Genomic DNA, 22,054 nt, shown 5'->3' on the forward strand with positions numbered 1-22,054 from the left:
GTGGTGTGTATATAGTTGGAACTCACTAAATGTTTGTTAACCAAAGAGATTAATTCTTAAGTACAAGATAAACATCTTTCACTTTAAAAAAGGAGAAAATAGTTGCTTTCCATTCGTTCTTAAAATGATCAAACTATAACAATTCCGGATTTTCCCCCCCATTATCCTAGAGTGAAAAACAGACCATTTTTTTCTTGTTTTTGGTTGTGTATATATACATATTAATAACAATATAGTTGTACAAATGATAAGTGGTTGCAATGTGCTGTACCTGGAAAATTCATAGGCAGTTCAAATGGCTGTAGAGACTCACAACCTTCAATCTGCTCACAAATTTCAGCTATGATCTTCTTAACTTTGAGACCAGTAATTTTAATCACTTCTCCTGTTGAAAAACAGCATTCATTTCCAAACATTTCATAAATAGAGCCTAAAAGGAAAGAAAAGTTAAAACAGCTTTTTAAAAAGAAAACAGTGAAAAACAAAGTAGACTCAAAAGCTTAATATAAAGTGTTTTAATTCAGTTCCTCTCTTAGCTACCTGCTAAACAGGAATTTAATCAAGCTTGGCAAAATGTACAGCATAGACCAGAAAAATATTAGATTTTCACTTTATTCACTGGGCCAAATATAAATAAATCTTATTTTTGTTATTTTTGTAAATTGAATTTATGATTTCCTCAGCACCCTCAGCTCATCTTACCATGGTCAAACTACAAACGTATCTTCCACTACTGAGATTTATGATCTGTTTTTGCTGGGTCACAAAATTAAGCTCATATGACTCAAAAATGATCTAAATAACAACTGCAAACAAGGTTGTCATACAATTGGAGATGAAAAAGAGGGTCTGCACACCAGGGCTTCACATTAAGAGGGTCATATTTATTTATTAGATCTGGTTCTCTTCATTAGCATGAAAGTAAAACTTTTTGCCCATTTTTATCTCTTGGTTTTTGACAAGCTAGAAACCATTCTGAGTATCTTTGTGGCGATAGGGGGCAGACCAACCCAGATAAACTGAAAAGCTTCATTTTAGTCAGTATTTCAATCGTCTTCTTGACAAACCTTTTATCATAGATGCTACAGCTAAGTTTTCATTCACTTATTTTCCTTTAATATTCCCTGATGGAAGGACAGTGAGGAGTAAAATAACCACAAGATGAACAACAGCCAAGAGCAGAGGCAAAAATTCTGGATAATCTACCCCCAGTGAAAAGGAAACAACCCAAAAACTATATCTCTGGCATATTATTGCTTTACAATTCAACACTAACTTAAGGCAAGTATAAATAAACATTATAGAGCTGTGAGCTTTTATATATATCAGTTTTTCCTGACTTCCAAGATGATTTACGTTGTCTTTGCCATACTACATGTGAAGTATATGAGCACAGCGTTTTAGGTTTGCTTGTTTGTTTTCTGAATTTTTCTGTGTAGAACCACCTCCTCATAGAATTGTTCCTGATATGTAGCATGCACCTAGAACATTTTTATGGTATTGATGGTTGCCAGAAAAGTTAGTAAGCCTGGTATCCAATCTAGCTCTAAACAACAACTCTGAGGTCATATCAGAGTCCCAATAGGTAACAGGGCACACTCAAATTAGAATAATTTCAGGAAGTTTATCATAGGGGCCATCTTTAAAAAGAGGCACAGCCAGTTCTAGGCAACCAAAGAAAATAAATGTCCTGACCTCACTCTTCTCCATAGGCATCCCATTAGCCAAATTCTGCCAGAAGCCAGAGGACAAGCGAGCTACTAATGTCCCCACAGAAGTCAGCTTCCCAGGCAGAGTGGGTATGAAAATCCAGCACACCCACATTACTGTCCTTATCTGAGCAAGAAGCATTTTTGCAGACAAGAAGAATACATCTAAAGAATACATATTAAGGATAGTCTATCCATTCCTCAAGCTTCCGGTACATATTTCCATAACCCTCTCCTTGTCTCATACTATTCCCTTAACTACATATGTGCTCATATTTTCGTTAACTTTAATGCTTAATGTTATCAGCAGGCTCAAGTCCTTTGTGGAACAAATTGAGGTATTAAAAATACTAATAAATCCACAGTGACATTTTTCCCCCAATTGACTCTGAATGGTTATTTGCTATGATCCTCATTTGGCAATTAATCACATACTAACATTTTATATCTTTAGTATTATCTCACCCTATACTTAATTTTTTATGAGTTTCAGTTTTTATGACTCCCAATTCAATTTTAAACTTCATGAGAAGAAATATTGCATTACTTTCTTGTATGACTACAACACATCAACTTCCCCTGTTCATTCATTCAGCAAACTTTGATTAAAAAAAAAAACCTACTATGTTGGCGATTGGCAATAGGAATCAGAGATAAAATGCATTATTCATTCCCCCCAGAAGCATTGTCTTGAAGGGAAAGAACAATTAAGCAGACAATTGCAACAGATTAGGAGAAGGGTGTAATAAAGGAAATACAGGGCAATGTGGGAGTATACTGAAGGCATTTAATTATGCAATTACATGAAAAAGAGATTAGAGAAGGATTCCTGGAGGAGATGACTGCAGATTTGAGTTTTAAAGGAAGAGTCACAGGACACCAGGACAGGCAGAGGAAATAGTATTTGAAAAGGCACTGAGATGTGAAAGAGCCTGATACATTCTGGAAACTTCAAGTACTTTGTTATGTCTAAAATGTAAGTAAGAAGGAGGAAGTGGTAAAAACAGAGACTAGGGAAGTAGAGGGAGTCCTGATGGTTCAGAGCATTCATTATTGATTCATTATCAATAAATAAAAAAGCAATTTAAAGTATGAAGCAACCACAAAGTCACAGAATCTACATTTCCAGTTATCATGGTCCAAAAACACATTTAAGGACAGGTCATTTGTACTCTAAGTGTTTGCTATACAAACCTTGGTCCACCACATCACCTGAGAGCTTGTTAGAATCTTAGACCCCAGACCTACTGAATCAGAACCTGTGTTTTTAACAAGATCCCTAGATGATTTATAAGGACATTAAGGTTTGCAAACATTGGCCTAGGCAACAAATGGATAACAATATAGTCTCTGTTTGAAATTGTTGCAAAACTAACATAGAGGGGAAAATGTGTTAAGCAGAGAAAGCACTGGGCATCATTGAGTTAGAGGATGTTATAAGTGGAGAGAGGGAAAGGGAAGGCTTTTAAGTAAAGAAGCAAATAGTAAAATTTTTCTTTGTCATATTAAATGGAACATAATCTAACGTAGCCCATTTCAGCTGAAGTCTGTTGGGCTTAATTTCAGTGCACTGATTATCTAATTGTAAATGTAATGTATATCAAATTGGCTGAGTTGGAATGTCATCTTTCTTTTAAAGGTTCAATTGGAATTCAAAATAAAAAGATAAATTTATGTGAGATTTCATATCAATTCACATGGAATAGAAGCCAGAGAATTCTATAAAAAGAAATTTCATGAGTCTTGGTCACCACAAGAAAAGCTTTTGACTCTTCAGGTCTTTTTCCAAGCAAGTCTTTCCTTTTGGAAGAAAAAAGCTCACTTCTTTCAGTCACATAAGGAAAAGACTATCATGTAAATAATAATCTTTTGTAATTTCTCTTTAATATTTCGTGACTTCCAATGTTCTTCAACCAAGAAAGCTGTTAACTCATTTTTAATAAAGAAAGTGTTCAGAGATGTCCAGCACTAGAAAGCTAGAAAGTTATGTCTATGATAGGTGACAGGGACATATAGCAAAGCTTAAGTCGCTAAAACTGGAAATCTTGTATTTTATTATCACCAATATAATGTGTCTTAAAATATATTTTTTCCTTCTTGATAAGTTAAAATGGTGAATTTTAAAAATATCCAACTTTCATTATCTCAAAACAAACACATAATATGTGTAATTGCTTTTAAAAAAATTGCTGAGATATGTGTCTGAAATATATCTGTGTATATATAGACATACATATTAAAATGGCTTTCATTTCATTTTAACCATAAAACATGTATTTTGAATAAGCAAATCTCGAATCTATTAAATCTTTACAGACTGATTCTATCCAAGTCAAAGCATATGTATTCAGAATAATGCCAAACATCAGAGAAAGCTGGAACAAAGCAGCCTGTTTTCAGTGATCAAACATTGCCCCTGAAGGCTGTAATGAAAGAGCCATGTGCCTTTGAAATCACCTTTTCTGTAATGCTACTTTGCTCAATAAAAACGACACATTAATATCCTTTTATGAGCTCATCCCTTGTTTGACAATCCATATAAGCAATGCTGTGATCACATCAGAACAGCCAAAACAATTGGTTCAATAGATTTTCTTCCATCTTCCCTACAAAGTTAAAAACGTGTGACAGTCAGCAAATAGGAAACTGCATTGGATGTTTCTCCCCTTTACTCAAATGCACTCTCCCTCCATTACTGCCTGCCCTACCACCCCCTGCCACTACACCAGGCCACCCATCCCTTTACATCCTTATTAACTTGTCAAAGTCCAACCAATTCCAAAGCTTCAGCCCATATTTATCATTTTCTTCAAAGCCTTCCTTGATCCCTACACCTAAGTAAGAATTAATTCTCTCCTCTGTGCTCTGATAGCACTTCATGCGTATCTCCATTAAAGCCTTATGTGATTATTATCACTCTTTCAATTGGAGTGTTATGTATATTTTGCAATTTATTATGATTTCCTAGAGAAGAGACATTATCTTAACTATATGTATACCTCCCCCACAGCTAGTAAAACAGTTTTTTTTATCACTTATTAGATGATTAGTGAATGTTGTTATAATTTTGTGTCATTGTAAAATGACAATTAATTGTTGTGAACATAATAGTGGTCCTTCTACATAAGGAGTTTAAAGCATGGTCAAGTCAAAGGTTTTTGCATGGGTTATATCTTTATTTGGTATGTTTGATATCAAATATACAAGTGAAGTATATACAAGCTGACTATGTTGTGAATTCTCTAGACAAGGAGTAATGAGGGTAGTGGTTCTATAATATGAATCTCTACTAGTTAAGTTTGCATAAAGAGGGAGCTCATGTGACCATCTGAGATATATTTTTATAAGCTAGGAAATTATATCTGCAAAGTATGGCTGATAGTGTCTGATAGAACCATATCCACTGGGGTTGCCAGTGGAGATGCAACTTTGCTCATTATAAATAGGTGTGATTATTTTTTGCTTCAGGATAGCACAAATTATCAAGAAGGAGCATCCCTCTAAAGGAAATGTTTAAGTGTAAAACTATTTTATTGGCAATTGTGTACCTAGACATGGCAGTTGATGTGGCATTGAGACCATTATGGTGATAAATTCAATTTTCCAAATGAACCTCTAGATAGGCGACCACAGGAATGAAGTTCAAAAGAGGCCATGGTTGCAATAGACATTTATATGGCCAGTCTTCCACAAAGAGATGGTCTGCATTTCCTGTAAGGCAGAGACAATGTCATTCCCACTCTATGAAGAATGTGTCTAAAAATAAGTGAGCATGATATTTTAATGCAGGGTACATATAAGTAGACACGAAAAAGCAAGCTTTCAGCTTTACTAAGGGTGGATACTCCCAGTTGGACACTAGATATAGCACTAAAGGTACATCTGAGAAATGCTAGGAAATGATCTTTCCAGGCCATAGAGACTCTCTCATCCCCAAAATATCAGTATTAAGAAGGCAAGGCATTGGGATTACATAATAAGAAAAGTTATGGCTGTGCTAAGAACTAAGGTAAAATCTCCCTAACCTCTAAGAATATAGGATTTTTCTCGTGAATTGGGGGTTTAAGTATTATCCAGGAAGTCAAGCCTAAAGACTGAAATATGCAAAAGACTGTAGGAAATGTTGGTGAGTCTTACTTAAAACATCTGAACATGGGGAAGCAATAAAAGTTCCTACAGATTGGAAATGCTGGGGCCTGAGAGCCAAAAATAAATAAATAAATAAATAAAATCAGATTAAATAAGTACTAGGACCAAAACCCAGAAAAGAACAACATTTCAGTCACTCTGAGTGATGTGTAAGAAATTCAGGTGACTAAGTTTCAGTGATAGAAGAAGAATAAATCACTGTTTCGTGCATTAGCTAAAAACGTATTTGTTTAATGGTAAATTTATTAATTTAATAGATTAAATAAAACTGTACTAAGAGGGCTTACAAGTGGTTGTCATGATAGAAGTCATCATTGTGGCTCATTGAGTAAACATTATCAGAGCAAAGGGATTTGAGGGTGTGTGTATGAAATAAATATCCCTCCTGTGTATCCACAGAACACTTATCTATGATTGTGGAACAAATCAGTGACTGTGCATCTTCTGATACTATTATTGATCAAATATTTCCCATATTTCACCCAAATTTTTACCCTCAAAATGACATAAATAATATCATAATTTCATGTATAAACAATATTGCTTTGGGAGTTGGCTTATTGTTTTAGGAAGGACTTGGTTTCAAGTACATTTTATACACATCAACATCTCTGCCTACATTTTATATCTTAAATGTTAAATAAATTTAATATAGACATCTATAGCCATTTAAAACCATAAACTTGTTCTCTATTTCCATTTAATGAATACAAATGTACTGACTGCATTGATTATACAGGGACCCTAATGGATTACAGTGTGTTCGCACAATACATACAAAATAAAGCTTCATGTTATTATCTATTTCCCTAACTTTGTTAGCATTAATTAAACACTCCATTAGCTATTCTGCTTGTGAATTATAGTTTAGAAATTGAGAGTAAAGACTGGGCACAGTGGCTCACGCCTGTAAGCCCAGCACTTTGGGAGGCCAAGGTGGGTGGATCACCTGAGTTTAGGAGTTCAAGACCAGCCTGGCCAACATGGTGAAACCTGTCTCTACTAAAAATACAAAAATTAGCCGGTCATGGTGGTGGGTGCCTGTAATCCCAGCTACCTGGGGAGGCTGAGGCAGGAGAATCACTTGAACCCAGGAGGTGAAGGTTGCAGTGAGCTGAGATTGCACCACTGCACTCCAGCCTGGGTGACACAGTAAGACTCCATCTCAAAAAAAAAAAAAAAAAAAAAAGAAAAGAAAGAAAAGAAAAAAAAGAAAGAAAGAAAGGAAATTGAGAGTAAAGGCTTAAAATTTTTAATAAGACATTTGGAGGTCATTAATTGAAATTGTGCTTATATTGTGCATTTTAAAATTTTATTTTTATAACTCATTTTTATTGTATTTTATCAAAGTACTAATTCATGATGGATCAGAAAAGGAAAATGAATTAGGTCTTCACCACGGATAGTTTTGGAAGCACTTCCAGAAGGAATTAAGTGCAAACATATGATCACAGTCAAGGCAGGGAACAAGGATGTAGTCTCAAGGAGTTAGAAAGTTAGAGTAAAATTTCAACATCCTGAAAAAGGAAAGTTATAACCTAATACACAAAGTCTTAATTAGTATTATTAACTCATCTATCTCAATGACACAGCAGCCTGAGTGCCCTAGCTAAAAGACACAGGAATTTTAATCAACTTGACAGTAATAATTCTAATTGCAAGTTATTGTACTGGCATTCTGATTTCTACCTTATATTCTTCTGAGTTGTATGAGTTAATGCTGATCCTAATTGACCATGGATGCTTTGAGTTGCTGGACCTATACAGCTCAGTTCCAAAGCCATAAGCAGGTGAAATCTCCTAGGGAGTAAATTTTTTTTTTTTTTTTTTTTTTGCTCTGTTGCCCAGGCTGGAGTGCAGTGGCGCAAACTCTGCTCATTGCAACCTCCACCTCCTACATTCAAGTGATTCTCCTACTTCACCCTGCCAAGTAGCTGGGATTACAGGCACTCACCACCACGCCCAGATAATTTTTGTATTTTTAGTAGAGACAGGGTTTCACCTTGTTGGCCAGGCTAGTCTTGAACTCCTGACTTCAAGTGATCCACCCACCTCGGCCTCCCAAAGTGCTGAGATTACAGGTGTCAGCCACCCCACCCAGCCCCAGGAGATGAATTCTATGCATTCTACCTAAATAACATACCGAGTAGTCTCCATGACAGAGACAGCAAATATGTGCAGTATATTCTACCATTTGTCCCTCTCATCACTAATCATACAAGGTATATTTTGAGTTGAATCCAGATATGACCTAATAATCCTCAACATCGAGTTCTAGGTGACTATCCATCAGTTGAAGATGGCATGCCAGGTATTAATTATGCCCAGCCCAGTCCAGCACTATGACTTATCTTGCTTTCTTTAAGCACCCTTGGCTAATATTTTTAAAGATTTTAATCCTTAAATTGGGCTAATTTACTCCCAAAGGCTTAGTCAAATGAAATCTGGCAGAAGAATACAGAACCCCTCATTCAATCATTTATTCCAGGTCAGCTGTCTGAATTGAGGCATAAAACTCTAACTTGATAATAATCACAATTGTATATAACCCAATGGCAGTTATAAAATGAGTTTGAATTTCATTTACATCTCTAAGTGCTAGCAACTTTGACGATCTCTCGAATCATTGCATCTCAGCAGGAAAATTTAAATACTCTTTTATCCTATTAATGTATTATGATAACTGAGTCCCCATACAGTATCTGTATCAAGCAGGTGTCCAAATTTTATTTGAACATCTTCAGTGGTGGAATTCCATTTATCTTAAGGTGATCTGCTTTACTTTTGAGCAGCTCTTACTGTTAAAAATTTCTTCATTTTATTAACCTTTATCTGTGCTTATCTGGGATGTACACACTAGAACAGTTGTTTAGCCTTTGAAATCATACAGAAAACAATTATTTTAACTCTTCTACGTAGAAGCCTTAACATGTTTGAAGACAGCTGTTCTTTCTAACAAACAAAGCTGTCAAACAATTGGAGTGTATTCAGGGCCACTGTTTACTGCATAGGTTGCCCATTATAAAACTACCGGAACCACAACTTACATGGATGTGAATGGCATCCTTGGAGTTGTGGAACATGGAATCCTGCTTCTCAAAAATATGTGTACTTAAGTGTTCCAGGAAAGACTAAATAGTAGCTGTCAGAGATGTCCAAAGGAAGTTGCCTGCCAGAAAACTAAAAATCTTTGTGTGAGGAATAACCAGCCGTTTCACACTAGCAATATTTGGCTTTGCCAATCAATGGTCAAAGTAAAACCTACAGTAGAAAAAGTACAAATGTCTTAAATTTGAGCAGCAAATGTAGGGAAATAATACCTTATCAATAGCTGGATTCTTCCCCTGTGTCCCTTCTACCATTAAAGCCAAGACATAAGGATTATTTCCCCAGGAAAGAAAGGAAGTTTTAGTCATTGTTTAGCTCTGAGACTCAAAGACATTTTGAAGACTTAGGGAGATAATTGTCTTGACAAGATAGGCTTTATTAAAATTGAACAATATTTTTCATAATTGTCAAAATCTTTTCATATGAATATAAGAGTCAAATAATGAAAGATGATCTATAGTAGATTATAGACCAAGGGGGGCACAGTGCATGACATAAAGGAATTTACCACCCTGCTGAAAAAAAATTGGGATTTTTTTTTAGTACAAAGAGAAAAAATAAAGCATACTGTGTTTTACTTCCAAAATCTACTCTTTGTGCCAGATCAGAAAAAAAAGTTTTAAAATCAAAGCTTTTGATTTACAAGAGCTGTTTCTTATTGAGAGAAGTAAAAGCCAGGTCTTGAGGAAGGTCATAGAATTTATGCTTTGCAGTTAGTTTGAAAGGGAATAAAATAATCTTAGACTATCTTCTGGGAGAGTGCCAGGGAAGCAGAGAGGTGAGTTCAATAGAGAGGCATCCTGGAGAAGATGAGTTGGGCCTGATTTGAAGACACCATGTGCAGAAGTCCAGAGATTTCTATAAATACCCTACTCAGCATCCCCTGTGATCAGATTCAGGAAGCGGTCACTGTAGATTATGACAAATGACCATCCTAACAAATACTAAATCAACCTGAAGATACAAGATCAGTGTCTCAGCCTCTCAGTTCTGTTTGTTGAAGGCCTCCATCAACACTTACCTGAACGTCCAGCAAAATTATGTTTATCCATATGTATCAAAGGTCCGCATATCCACTCTCAGGTTAATGATTGATTAGGACTCATAGAAGTCAGAAAAGCTGTTATACTCATGGTTACAGTTTACTCAGAGAAACAATACAGATTAAAATGAGCCAGTGAAAAAGGTGCATAGGGCAGAGCCCAAGAGAAATCAGGCACAGGTTTCCAATTGTCCTCTCCCAGTGGAGTCACATGGACAGGGCATCATTCTCCCAGCAGTGATGAGTGACAACATGTACAAACTGTTGCTAACAAGGAAAGTTTACCTGAGCCTTGGGGTCCTGGGATTTTACTGGAGGTTGATCACAAAGGCATGGAGTGCACACACAACTGACCTTAACTACTAAATATGCAGCACCCCCTTAGAGGTCAAACTCATACAGTGTGGCCAAGGACCTCAGGTGAAAAACAAAACAAACAAAACTAAAAAAACAGACATCCACCAAAAATCACCTTGTTAGCATGAGCTATCCATGCTAACAGATGTTAGAGTGGCCAAAGGTCCAAAGTATACAAAACACTCATTGGACAGGATGATCCAAGGGTTTATAAGGTATCTCTAAGGAGCCAGTCAAGACCAGTCCTTTCTTTGGAATGTACATAAAGTTTGAACACCCAAAGCCTGCTGAGTTAACCCTTTACTAAATATCATGTTTCAAGACTTTGTTAAAGCTTGTCAGGAAAAAAGTTGTCCAAGACTTGAAAAGTACAAAAAAGATTACTACATATCCTCTCAGTAGAGAGCTAGATATTGTCTAGCAGACATTTTGGGAATTATCTGATTCTACAGAGGTATACAGCTTATACTGCCTTGTAGAAAATTAATAGAAATGTAAATTATTATCCATAGTAATATAAACAATTATTTTCCACTGCAATAAAATGATTTTTTCCAGTAGATATGTAATTGATCTATGCCTTGTAGAAAAGATACACTAACATTATATGTTTGAGGTTGATAATCAGGTTTAACTATACTGTAATTCATTTTGGCATTTCTGATTTTACTTTTGCTTGTGTGTATGCATGTGTGTTTGAACTGGATTTAACACCTCAATGATTCCCTCACTTAATGAGTTAAAAATCATTTGCACATTCATTTTATGTTTATTTGGCAGTGAGGTTTTTACTTAAGTGAAAAAATTGTATCAGTCTCATATTAGTTGCACAGCATTTGAATGTTCTTTTCAATAAGGTTAATCATTTGTAACAGAATGGAATCCTGGAGTCCCAGAAATGCATTGATAATATGAGGAAAATCTCCAATATTTACATTTGGGTGGAAATGCAGTGTTGTAACTCACACTCCTTATATTTGTAAAATATTGTACTTGATTTATACTTTAGATTTTCTTCCTTATATCTTTTTTAGCTTTGCTTTTTCTTCCTTCGTTTTCTGTTTTATTGAAGTCTTTAATCGAAAGAATAAAGATAGATTAATGATTTAGTTTGTTCTTAAAATACATTAAATTTTATCATATTCATTTATAAAGTGCACTATTCAGTATAAGCTAGCTACATATAGTGTCTATAGTTTTATTCAATAACTAAAAATTCTAAAACAAATACTGATGTACATCATTGTATAGTTATGCTACTTAATAGTTTATTTTTGCAGTCAAATTTTCTCTTTGAATGCTTTTCTTAGCAGATCAAGTCCAAAACAGATAGAATTTCATTATCATTTACTTTGAAGAATGACAAATATTTTAAAACTTTATGCTCAAAAGAGTCACTGAGAAATTTTAAAATAAATAAATTCTAAAGATTCTAAAAAATTAAATTGCCCTTTGGTGGATGAGCTCACTCTCCCCATATTTCCGTATGTTTGAAACCAATGCATAAAGTTTCATAACAAATTGAACTGAGAGATATAATATTTAAAAATACTCAATAATCACTCTTATTGAACAATTTCTATCATCTACTGAAGATCTAATATTATCCATTTCAGAGCACAAAACCAGATATTATCAAAAGATATACACACAAAGAAATAACCAATAAAAGCCAAAAGATCCCTTTTCTTGAGAAACTTACATTCTAGGTAGCTGGAGACAGAAGGGACACACAAATATATAAAGAACAAAAACTGATAAGCTAGTAGACACTAATGCCAGGCACAAAGAGCTTTGGCTAAGGCTACTAAGATTTTTATTTTTATTTTATTTATTTATTTATTTATTTATTTATTTTTTACTTTTGATAGAACTCAGTAGCCAAGAAAGAAAAAAGTTTTCTGTGCTATAGAAAAGGAGATGTAGGTACTCTTTTCTAAAGACTGTTCCTTTCTTTCTTCTAGGGGGAAAATCCTAAAGAATTCTTTTAGTTATATAAGCCATTGTATTCTTGGGAAAACTTTGAGACAATTGATTTGAATGCAGCTGTACTTAGGCAAGTAATTTCTCTATAATATCAACTGATATGTTTGATTATTTGGGATACAAAGTAGTAGATAGAAGAGTTGGTTATGAACTCATCCCCACCAAAGAAAAACCTAGTTCCACTGCTAAAATAAATCCCCAAACAGTTGCTTAAACAACAAAAGAAAATGCTTATTTCTCTCTCTCAACCAGCAATCTAGTGAGAAGTAGACAAGGTTTCTATTGAATTATCATAGGATCTAGGACTTTTTATGTTGCTTTCTTCAACAGATCTCCCATCTTACGTTCTAAGATGACTGCTCTATCTCCTACCATCAAGTCTGAATTTCAGCTAGTGAGAAAGAGAAATGGAGAAGAGAAAACATTCCATTCATTTTAGTAGCTGCAATAGATATTTGACACATGAAACACCTCACAACCTATTGGCCCAAACTTAATCAAGTGGCCACATTAAGATTCAAGAAAGCTACACAATATCATCTTTAGCTGAAACTCTGATACTACAGAAGAAACGGAGAACAGATATAGTTAGCGAACAGCTAACAGTGCCTAACCTAAAAGGTGAGGGAAAGGCATGTATATTTCATTATTTAAATTAGACTATGCTATGCCTGTAAATTTTACATTGTCTTATCGAGGAAAAATGTATATTTTTATTTGAAACACCAAAGTTAAGAGGTCTGTTGCTGAGTCTGAGACTGTAGAATGAAATTTCAAGACTGATGTTTATCTCCACTGAAGGAATTACTATTAAACACACACACACACACACACAATTTTCTTTCTTCATTCATTCCTAGGCATTTAACTAGTTAAAAGTCACAGATGAGAATGCCTTCTCTACAGTCAAGTTCAAATCCAGAATCTCCATTTAATAGATTTGTGACCTCAGGTAATTACTTCACCTGTAAAATAAAGATAGTGCCTCAACTTCGTTATCTTTAACATAAGGAAAATAATATTACCTCAAATGGCTTTTTTGAGCATCAAATAAAATTATTTTACGTGCATAGCCCCGCCCCTGGCATCTATTTAGGGCTTAATAAATATCAACTATTATTATTTTACCATTATTATTTTACATGATGTTTAAGACTGAATAATCCAGTGTAATACAATACTATCATATGCTGGTGGGATTGTCTTGATCAAGATGCAGGGCAGTGTCCTCCTATGGATGGGGCTTTGTTTTCCCTTAATAAAAATTGGTATTTTCTTTGCCAATATTTCTGAGGAAAAGAAAAAAGGAATGGAGAAGATGGACTTAGATTGGGGATAAAGACACCTTCAAGATCAGCATTTCCCAACCTTCCACAAATGAACTCTGGTGTGCCACAAATTGGTTACAGATGTGCCAACATATTGAATTTCTCATTGCTTAAAGTGACCAGCTCAGGTGGATATGGGATGACTCATAGCTTTGGCTGGTGATATCTGGCTACAAGCTGCCTTGTCTATTTATTCCCAGTGTGCCAAACAAATATTCATATTGTGTATAGATGTATCTGTCATAATTTAAAGGGTTGAGAGGAATGGTTCAGGAGCACTCTTAATGGAGACGATAAGCTGTTGTTTTTCATATAGTGGTTGGCTGAGAAGTAACTATTATACCAGGCAAGGGTAGAATCTAGCTTTTCAGAGAGGATCCATGAAAAATACATAAACTTCATTTGCTTATGTGTTGACTTTTAAAAATCTATGCAACTAATTAATTAAATATATGATATATGCCAAACAGAATAACAGTGCTATGTACTACTGATATATTGGTGAGCAAATGATGTTTTCTGAACCTTTATGAAATTTTAATGTGTTAGAAGAAAATATATTAATCAAATAATTATACAAATATACGATTGCAAAGTGATAATAACTATGAATGAACATTGCAAGACATTAAAAGAAAGGGTCTAAGCTTCTGGGTTCTGAAGTATATATGTATGATATTTATTAAACTATTCAATGAGTATTGATATTTATTAAGCTAGTCAACAAGTATTGATGTTCCTCAACTTACCATAGGGTTACATCCAAATAAACCCATCATAAGTTAAAAATATCTTAAGTTGAAAATGCACTTAATACATATAACCTATTGAACATCATAGCTTAGCCTAAACTACCTTAGACATGCTCAGAACGCGTAAAGCACCCCACAGCTGGGTAAAATCATCTAGCAACACAGTGCACTATAGAGTATCAGTTGTTTGCCTTCATGATCATGTAACTGACTGGGAGTGGCAGCTCACTGCCACTGCCCGACATCCAAAGAGAGTATCACACTACATATTGTGGGACCAGGAGAAGACCAAAATTAAAAGTACATTTTCTACTAAATGCATTCTGCTTTTGCACCATCGTAAATCAAACTACTAAGTTGGGGGCTGTCTGTATTTGCGGAGTTCCAGGCATATTAATCTCAAACTTACAGTAAAGTTTTATTCAAAGGCTTCAGCTAGGACTTTCATTTCTGGGAAGATGGAGTAGACATACATTTTCCTACCATCATATGTTCCAGATTTGAAGCTGAAAAAGCTGACAACCTGGAAATGCCAGTGGACACAGACCAAGAAAACCCTCAACAAAAGCCTGTTCTCTTTAGCCAAAGGGCTAGGAAAGGAACATCCTATACAACAACAACAGAAAACCTGTTAAGCAATAACCATTCTAATCTAGCCAAACATCACAGAAAAACAGAACAAAACAAAGCAAAACAAAACACCATTGTCTCTATGCCCACCCACACCAATAAAGGCTGAATAGAGAACTTAGGCCTCGCTCTTTGCCAGGCTGTAACAAGTCACTCCCCCATTTTTTGCTTGGGTGGTGTCAGAAAAGGCAGAGTAAAGAGCTGGGTCTTACATCTTTTGAAGGCAATAACAGTTCCCCAACCCCTGTCAGGGAAATCAGGAGGAGAGCCTGGACTTCCACTCCCATTCGTAAGCACTGATATGTCCTTTCTCCTTCCCACTGAGGTGATGTCAGAGGATCTACTGAAAAATCAGGGACTTGTGCCCAGCACAATCAGGCACTTCCCAGCCGCATGATGTAAGGGGTGGCCAAGAGAGGCCCAGTAATAAGGCAATGCTCGTACCCCTCCCAACATGGCTAGTGTCAATGAAGTCATAGTGAGGGGTCAGCACTCCCATTTCACATAATAAGAATCCTCACTTCCTAAAGTGTCACAGAGCCTGAAAGAGAAACCTGGGATTTTTATCCTACTTGGCAATAATGAGACACTGCTTCCTGCTGTAGCAGTGTCAAAGAAACAAAAAACAGAGAACAAACAGAAAATTAAAAATAAAACAGGAGATGTAAGCTTTGCCATATCAATAGTTACATTAAACGTACCTGATTTAAATACGTTTTTTTAAAAACAAAGATTGGTAGAGTGGATTAAAAAACATAACCCAAAGACATGCTATGACTCACTTCAAATGAAATAGGTAGATTGAAAGAAGATGGATGGAAAATGATATATCATGTGAATATTTATCAACAGAAAGCAGAAGCAGCAATATCAATACCAAATGAAGTAAAATTTAGAGCAAATGAAATTACTAGAGGCAGAGAAAAACATTACATAATGATAAAAGTGTCAATCTACCAGGAAGATAAGGAATCCCAAATATGTATACATCAACCAAAGAACAGGGCTGAGAAATATGTAAAGCAGAAACTGCTCTAACTAAAAAGAGAAATAGACAAATCAACAATTACAGTTGGAGTCTTCAACACCCCTCTTTCAACAACTGATAGAAGAACTAGACAGATTACCTGTAAGGATATAGAAGAACTCCACAACATCATCAAACAACATAATCAAATCTTCCTTTATAGAACACTTTACCTAACAACAGCAAAATACACATTGGTTTCAAGTACCCACAATAACATATGCTGAGATATCCTGTGCCATAAAACAAATCTCAACAAATTTAAAATAATTGAATCATAATATTCTATGACCACAATGAATTAAACTAAAAATCAATAACAGAAAGATACCAAGAAATTCCCCAAACACTTGAAAATGAAACACAACACCTCCAAATAATCCATGAGGCAAAAATAAGAAAAAAAATTTTATATATGCATATAATACATATTTATACCTATATACATACACATACACATACATATATTTATATACACACACTGAACTTAATAAAAATGAAAATACAACATATCAAAGTTGTAGGACATAGCTAAGGCAGTACTGAGAGGATAACTTTTAGCACTGAATGGTGATATTAGAAAAGAGCAATAGCCTCAAATCAGTAATCTAAGCTCATAATTCAAGAATATGGAAAAAGAAACAGAAAAAAATAAAGAAAATCAATGAAGCAAAGAGAAGATTCTTTGAAAATATCAATAAAATTGATAAAATACTAGCAACTCTGAAAAAGAAAAAATGAGAAAAGACACAAATTATCAATAAGAGGATAGCACTACAGAACATTCAGACATCAAAAATGTAATAAGGGAATCAATTTTACCACATAATTTGACAATTTAGTTGAAATAAACCAGTTCCTCCAAAAGAGAAAAAACCAACAAAATATACTACTTCTCATCCAGTATGAAATAGATAACTTGTTCAGTCCGATAACTATTAAGGAAATTTAATTCATATTATAAAACTCCCAAAAAAGAAATCTCCAGGCCCTGATTGTTTCACTGGAAACAATCTGCCAAACTTCTAAGGAAATATTTTCAACAATTCTAGATAATCTCTTTCAGAACATGGAAGGGGGAATACTCACCAATTTAGCTAGTGAAGCTAGTATTGCCATTATACCCAAACCAGACAGACAGCACACATCAAAAAAATAAACAAATAAATAAAATAAACCAATTCATTAATATAGACAAAAATCCTTCACAGAAATTTAGCAAATAGAATCTAGCAATATATAAAAAGAATTATACACCATGACCAAGTGTGGTTAATGCCAGGAATACAAGGCTGGATCAATATCAACAAAGCAATCAATGTAATCTACTACATTAACAGGCTAAAAAAAGGTATGGCAGCAGGTGCAAATGATCATTTCAGTTGATGCAGAAAAATCATTTAACAAAATTTTACACCTATTTATTTAAAAAACAAACTCTTACGCTGGGAGTGGTGGCTCACACCTGTAATCCCAGCACTTTGTGAGACCGAAGCAGGTGGATCACTTGAAGCCAGGAGTTTGAGACCAGCCTGGCCAATATGGTGAAACTCCATCTCTACTAAAAAGACAAAAATTAGCCGGGCACAATGGCAGACACCTGTAATCCCAGTTACTCAGGAGGCTGAGGCAGGAAACCCAGTAAGCAGAGGTTGCAGTGAGCCGAGATTGCGCCACTGCACTGCAGCCTGGGTGACAGAGTGAGACTCTGTCTCAAAAGAAAAAAACAAAAAACTCTCAGAAAAACTAGGAGTACAGAGAAATTGCTTAAATTGGTAAGGATAATCTATAAAACAAACAAGCAAAACAAAAACAAAAACTTTACAGATAAAATTATACTTGGTGGTCAAAACCTGAATGTTTTCTCCCTAAGATCAGAAACAAGTCCAGGCTATCCACTCTAACCACTCTTATGCAAATAGTCCTAGAAATTTTAGCCAGTGCAATAAAGCAAGAAAATAAAATAAAAATCATACACCTTGGAAAGGAAAAAATAAAACAGTCCCTGTTTCCAAATGACATAATTATCTACACAGAAAATCCAAAGGAATCTAAAAAAACAAAACAAAACACTATTAGAACTATTAAGTGAGTTCACCAAAGTTGTAGAATACTAGAATAATATTCAAAAATCAGTTTTATTTCTGAAACTAGCTATGAACCTGTGGATAATGAAATTCAAAATAAAATATTTGTGATTGCTCAAAAAATGAAATACTTAGTCATCAGTGTAATAGAACATGTACAGAACTTGTATGCTGAAAACTAAAAGATGTTGATGTGAGAAATTAATGATCTTAACAAATGGAATGGAAAGACATACTGTTTTCATTCATTGAAAGTCTCAACAACGTAAAGATGTCAATTTTCCTCAAATTGATATACAGGTCAATGCAATTCTTATCAACATTTTTGTAAATTTTTTGTAGGTATAGATGAGATCATTCTGAATTGCATATGGAAAGACAAAGGAACTAGACACGCTAAAACAATTTCGTAAAAGAAGACCAAAGGAGGTAGGAATTCAACTACCCAAGTCAAGACATATTATTTAACTACAGTAATCAGAACTGTATAGTTAGTGGCAGAGGAATAGATATACGTATTAAAGGAAGAAAATGTACTCCCCCAAAAACAGCGCCACAGAAATAAGCCCATCTGATTTTTGACAAATTTGCAAAAGCAATTCAAAAGCAAGCTTTTTAAAGAACAACAACAAAGTACTGGAAAAATTGGACATCCATAAAATTAAAATAATTAACCTAGTACTGGTTACCCTTAAACAATGTAGGGGTTAAGGGCACTGGCCTTGTGCAGTCAAAAATCCATGTTACAGCATCTGTCTTTCCCAAAACTTAACTACTAATAGGCTACTGTTGACTGGAAGCATTCCCAATAACATAAAGTCAATTAACACATATTTTGTATGTTATGTGTATTACATACCGTATTTTTACAATAAAATAAGCTAGCGAAAAGAAAATGTCACTAAGAAAATCATAAGGAATAGAAAATGCATTCATAGTATTGCATTTATTGATACCATAAGTTTACATCATTTGTTTATAAGATCTGTCTGAAATGGTGGGCAGCCATGGCTGCAGACCTCAATCTATGGTACATATCAAGGAATTCAACTTTTTCTTGCAATGTTATGACTTTTGTTTACTTTTTGGGAATACCAATAGCATCATTAGTAGCACTTTGTAGGTCTCATGCTGTTTTCAAGGTTTACGGTATAGCACTATGATGGAACGTTTGTACACGAGAATGAGCTCACTTTTTACTGCAATTCACAATTTGTAGGAGAGGATGAGTACTCAAAAGGAGATGATTAGTGTAACAGGGTGTTTTAATTGGATGCTTCCAACACTTGAGCTCATCACAATAGCAACAGAACAGGGCTACAAAATTATTATGGTAGAACAATATTACTATAGTTAATTTTATGTAGTTGTGATTTAACACTGCATCTGTTACATGTGTTTACCTTTCTCTCAACTGTGACTAGCACCATAAACAGTCTGTAAAGGCATGTGCAAGTTTTGAAAAATGTTAACTTTTTATAATAGATTTGTGTATATTTTATGGTAGTATACGATAAAATAGATTAGTAGCTACATATATTGTATGGATTCATGACATACCTAATTTTCTTAGTTTTTATCTTAAATATTTCTAGGCTACGTTGTGAGTTTTTTCAAATTGTTTCAAATCTCCAAAAAAATCTCCAATATATTTATTTTTAAAAATCTGCATATAAGTGGACCCACAAAATTCAAACCATTTGTTCAAGAGTCAAGTGTACTAAACTTCACATTATACACACACAAATATTGACTCAAAATGGATTCTGAACTTAAATTTGAAAGGAGTTAAGAAGAAGGTATGGCTATAAAAAAGCAACATGGGTGATGTGATGATATAAATATTTTGTCTCTTGACTGTAACAATGTCAATATCCTGGTTGTAATATTGTATTACAGTTTTGTAAGACCTTATCATTGAGGGAAGTTGAGTAAAGCAGGGGTCTGCAACCCCTGGGCCACAGACTGGTGCTGGCCGCACAGCAGGAGGTGAGCAGCTGAACAGCCAGCAAAGCTGAGCTTCACCTTTCATCAGATCAGCGGGCATTAGATTCTCCTAGGAGCAGAAACCCTATTGTGAACTGTGCATGCATGCAGGGGATCTAGGTTGTGTGCTCCTTATAAGAATCTAATAATCTGATGATAAATGTAGTGTGTACTTGAAACATCCCCAAAACCTCTGCCCCTGCAATCAATGGAAAAATTGTCTTTCACGAAACCAGTCCCTGGTCCCAAAAATTTGGGAACCACTGGAGTAAAAGATACATGGGATCTCTTTGTATTATTTCTTACAACTGCATATGAATCTGCATTCATCTCAAAATAAAGAGTTTATTTTGTTTAACTTAAATAAATGTGTGTATGTGTGCAACTTTTGACACCAGTGACAGAGAAAGTCTTTGTCAAACACAGAAGCATGTGCATACAAGGTGAAGTAGTAGAAGAAGCCTCAACACAATGTAGAAACCCCCAAACTGCAGAAAGCCATTAGGGAAGTCAACATAGCAGGGAGAAAGGCGAGTAGGTTTGTTGATATTGGAAATGTGAGTCTCTTCCCACCTTGAGACTTCCAGAGGGACTCCACAGTGGAACTATCCAGTAAAACTTTCTGCAATGTTGGAAATATAATCTGAGCTGCCCAATACTGCAGCTAATAGCCACGTGAGGCTCTTGAGCACTTAAATGTAACTAATGTAACGGAGGAACTCAAGTTTTACATACATTTACTTTTACTTAATTTAAACTTAAAGAGCCACATAGGACTAGTGACTACTGTATTGAACAGCACAGTGGTATAAAAAGATTAAAAACAAAAATGAGAGCTGCAGTTTTGCCATTGGTAGACTGTTTCAGAGCTTTGGTAATTTGGTCATCTATGTGTCATGTGTCACCTTGATTGTCCTCTCATGCCGATGAAGTTAGCAACAAACAAATCGAAGTATAATCCTCTACATAGTTGACATGTGATTATAGCTAAATGAGGTCAGTCTGGATGTCTGGTTATTAATATTGATAGAAAGGGCATTCCAGAAAGTAAAAATACCACTTTTAAGATTTAAACAAATTAATGTGTTAACCGATTATCTGACATCCAATGTTTTCCTACATGATCTGATTACAAAATAAAAATTCAGTGATTGGAGAAAACTCAAGAAGAATATATTGGAAATGCAGGCAATATAGCATTGTTATTGTAAGAAATTTTTCCTCAGTTGTCACAGAGTGGCAAGAGACACTACAGGCAATGAAATGTGTTACAGAGTGAACCAGGCATGCACAAGCGTCTAAATAAGATGACAGCTGCAAATATCAAAATGATCCACCAGCAGGCACTGGCACTAGTGAATTTCAAGTGAAAAAAATAAGATCGAACTGACTTCCAGATTGAGGTGCTGGGGTATTAGGAGAATGATAGGGCACTAAGATTCATTGATGCAGAAAAATAGGGAAGGAAGCAAAGAGTTCAGTTCTTGATATATTGTTTCTTACATCAAATGGTCATCCTTAAACAGAGATGGTCCTGTCTAATTCCTTTTCAACAATTGTTTGCATACAGACTGTCTTAGAATGGGGAAAGTTTTAAAATACAGATTCTTGGGTTATCTTCCAAAATTCTCAACCAGATTCTCCATGGTGAAACCCACAAATATGCAGTATTTTAAAGTTCCTTAGTAAATTGCAAAGTTTGGTTAGGTTTGCAAATATTGTAGCATATTAAGCAGGTAAAGGAAAGTCAGGAGACAACATAAATCAACTTAGAATAGCATATGGATTTAAGAGTTAGTTAAAGATATAGTGTGAAAACAAAACTAAACGAAAGCAATTAACTATGGCTAGATCTGCCTCCACTCAGAGTGACAATAGAGCATCTTGGACATA

General features: G+C 35.0%; 1 protein-coding gene across 12 annotated transcripts in view; it reads right to left on the reverse strand.

Moving 5' to 3' along the window:
- The window catches only part of THEMIS (thymocyte selection associated), a 221,968-nt gene that overhangs the window by 158,131 nt on the left and 41,783 nt on the right, over positions 1–22,054 (reverse strand). For all 12 annotated transcript variants that reach the window (XM_047418766.1, XM_047418764.1, NM_001318531.1 and 9 more), the window contains one exon: positions 272–430. In XM_047418766.1, coding sequence (XP_047274722.1) covers positions 272–430 — 159 coding nt within the window. Of the gene's footprint in view, positions 1–271; positions 431–22,054 lie in introns of those variants that run through there.

This window comes from Homo sapiens, chromosome 6, assembly GCF_000001405.40.
Source record: "Homo sapiens chromosome 6, GRCh38.p14 Primary Assembly".
Taxonomy (NCBI): domain Eukaryota; kingdom Metazoa; phylum Chordata; class Mammalia; order Primates; family Hominidae; genus Homo; species Homo sapiens.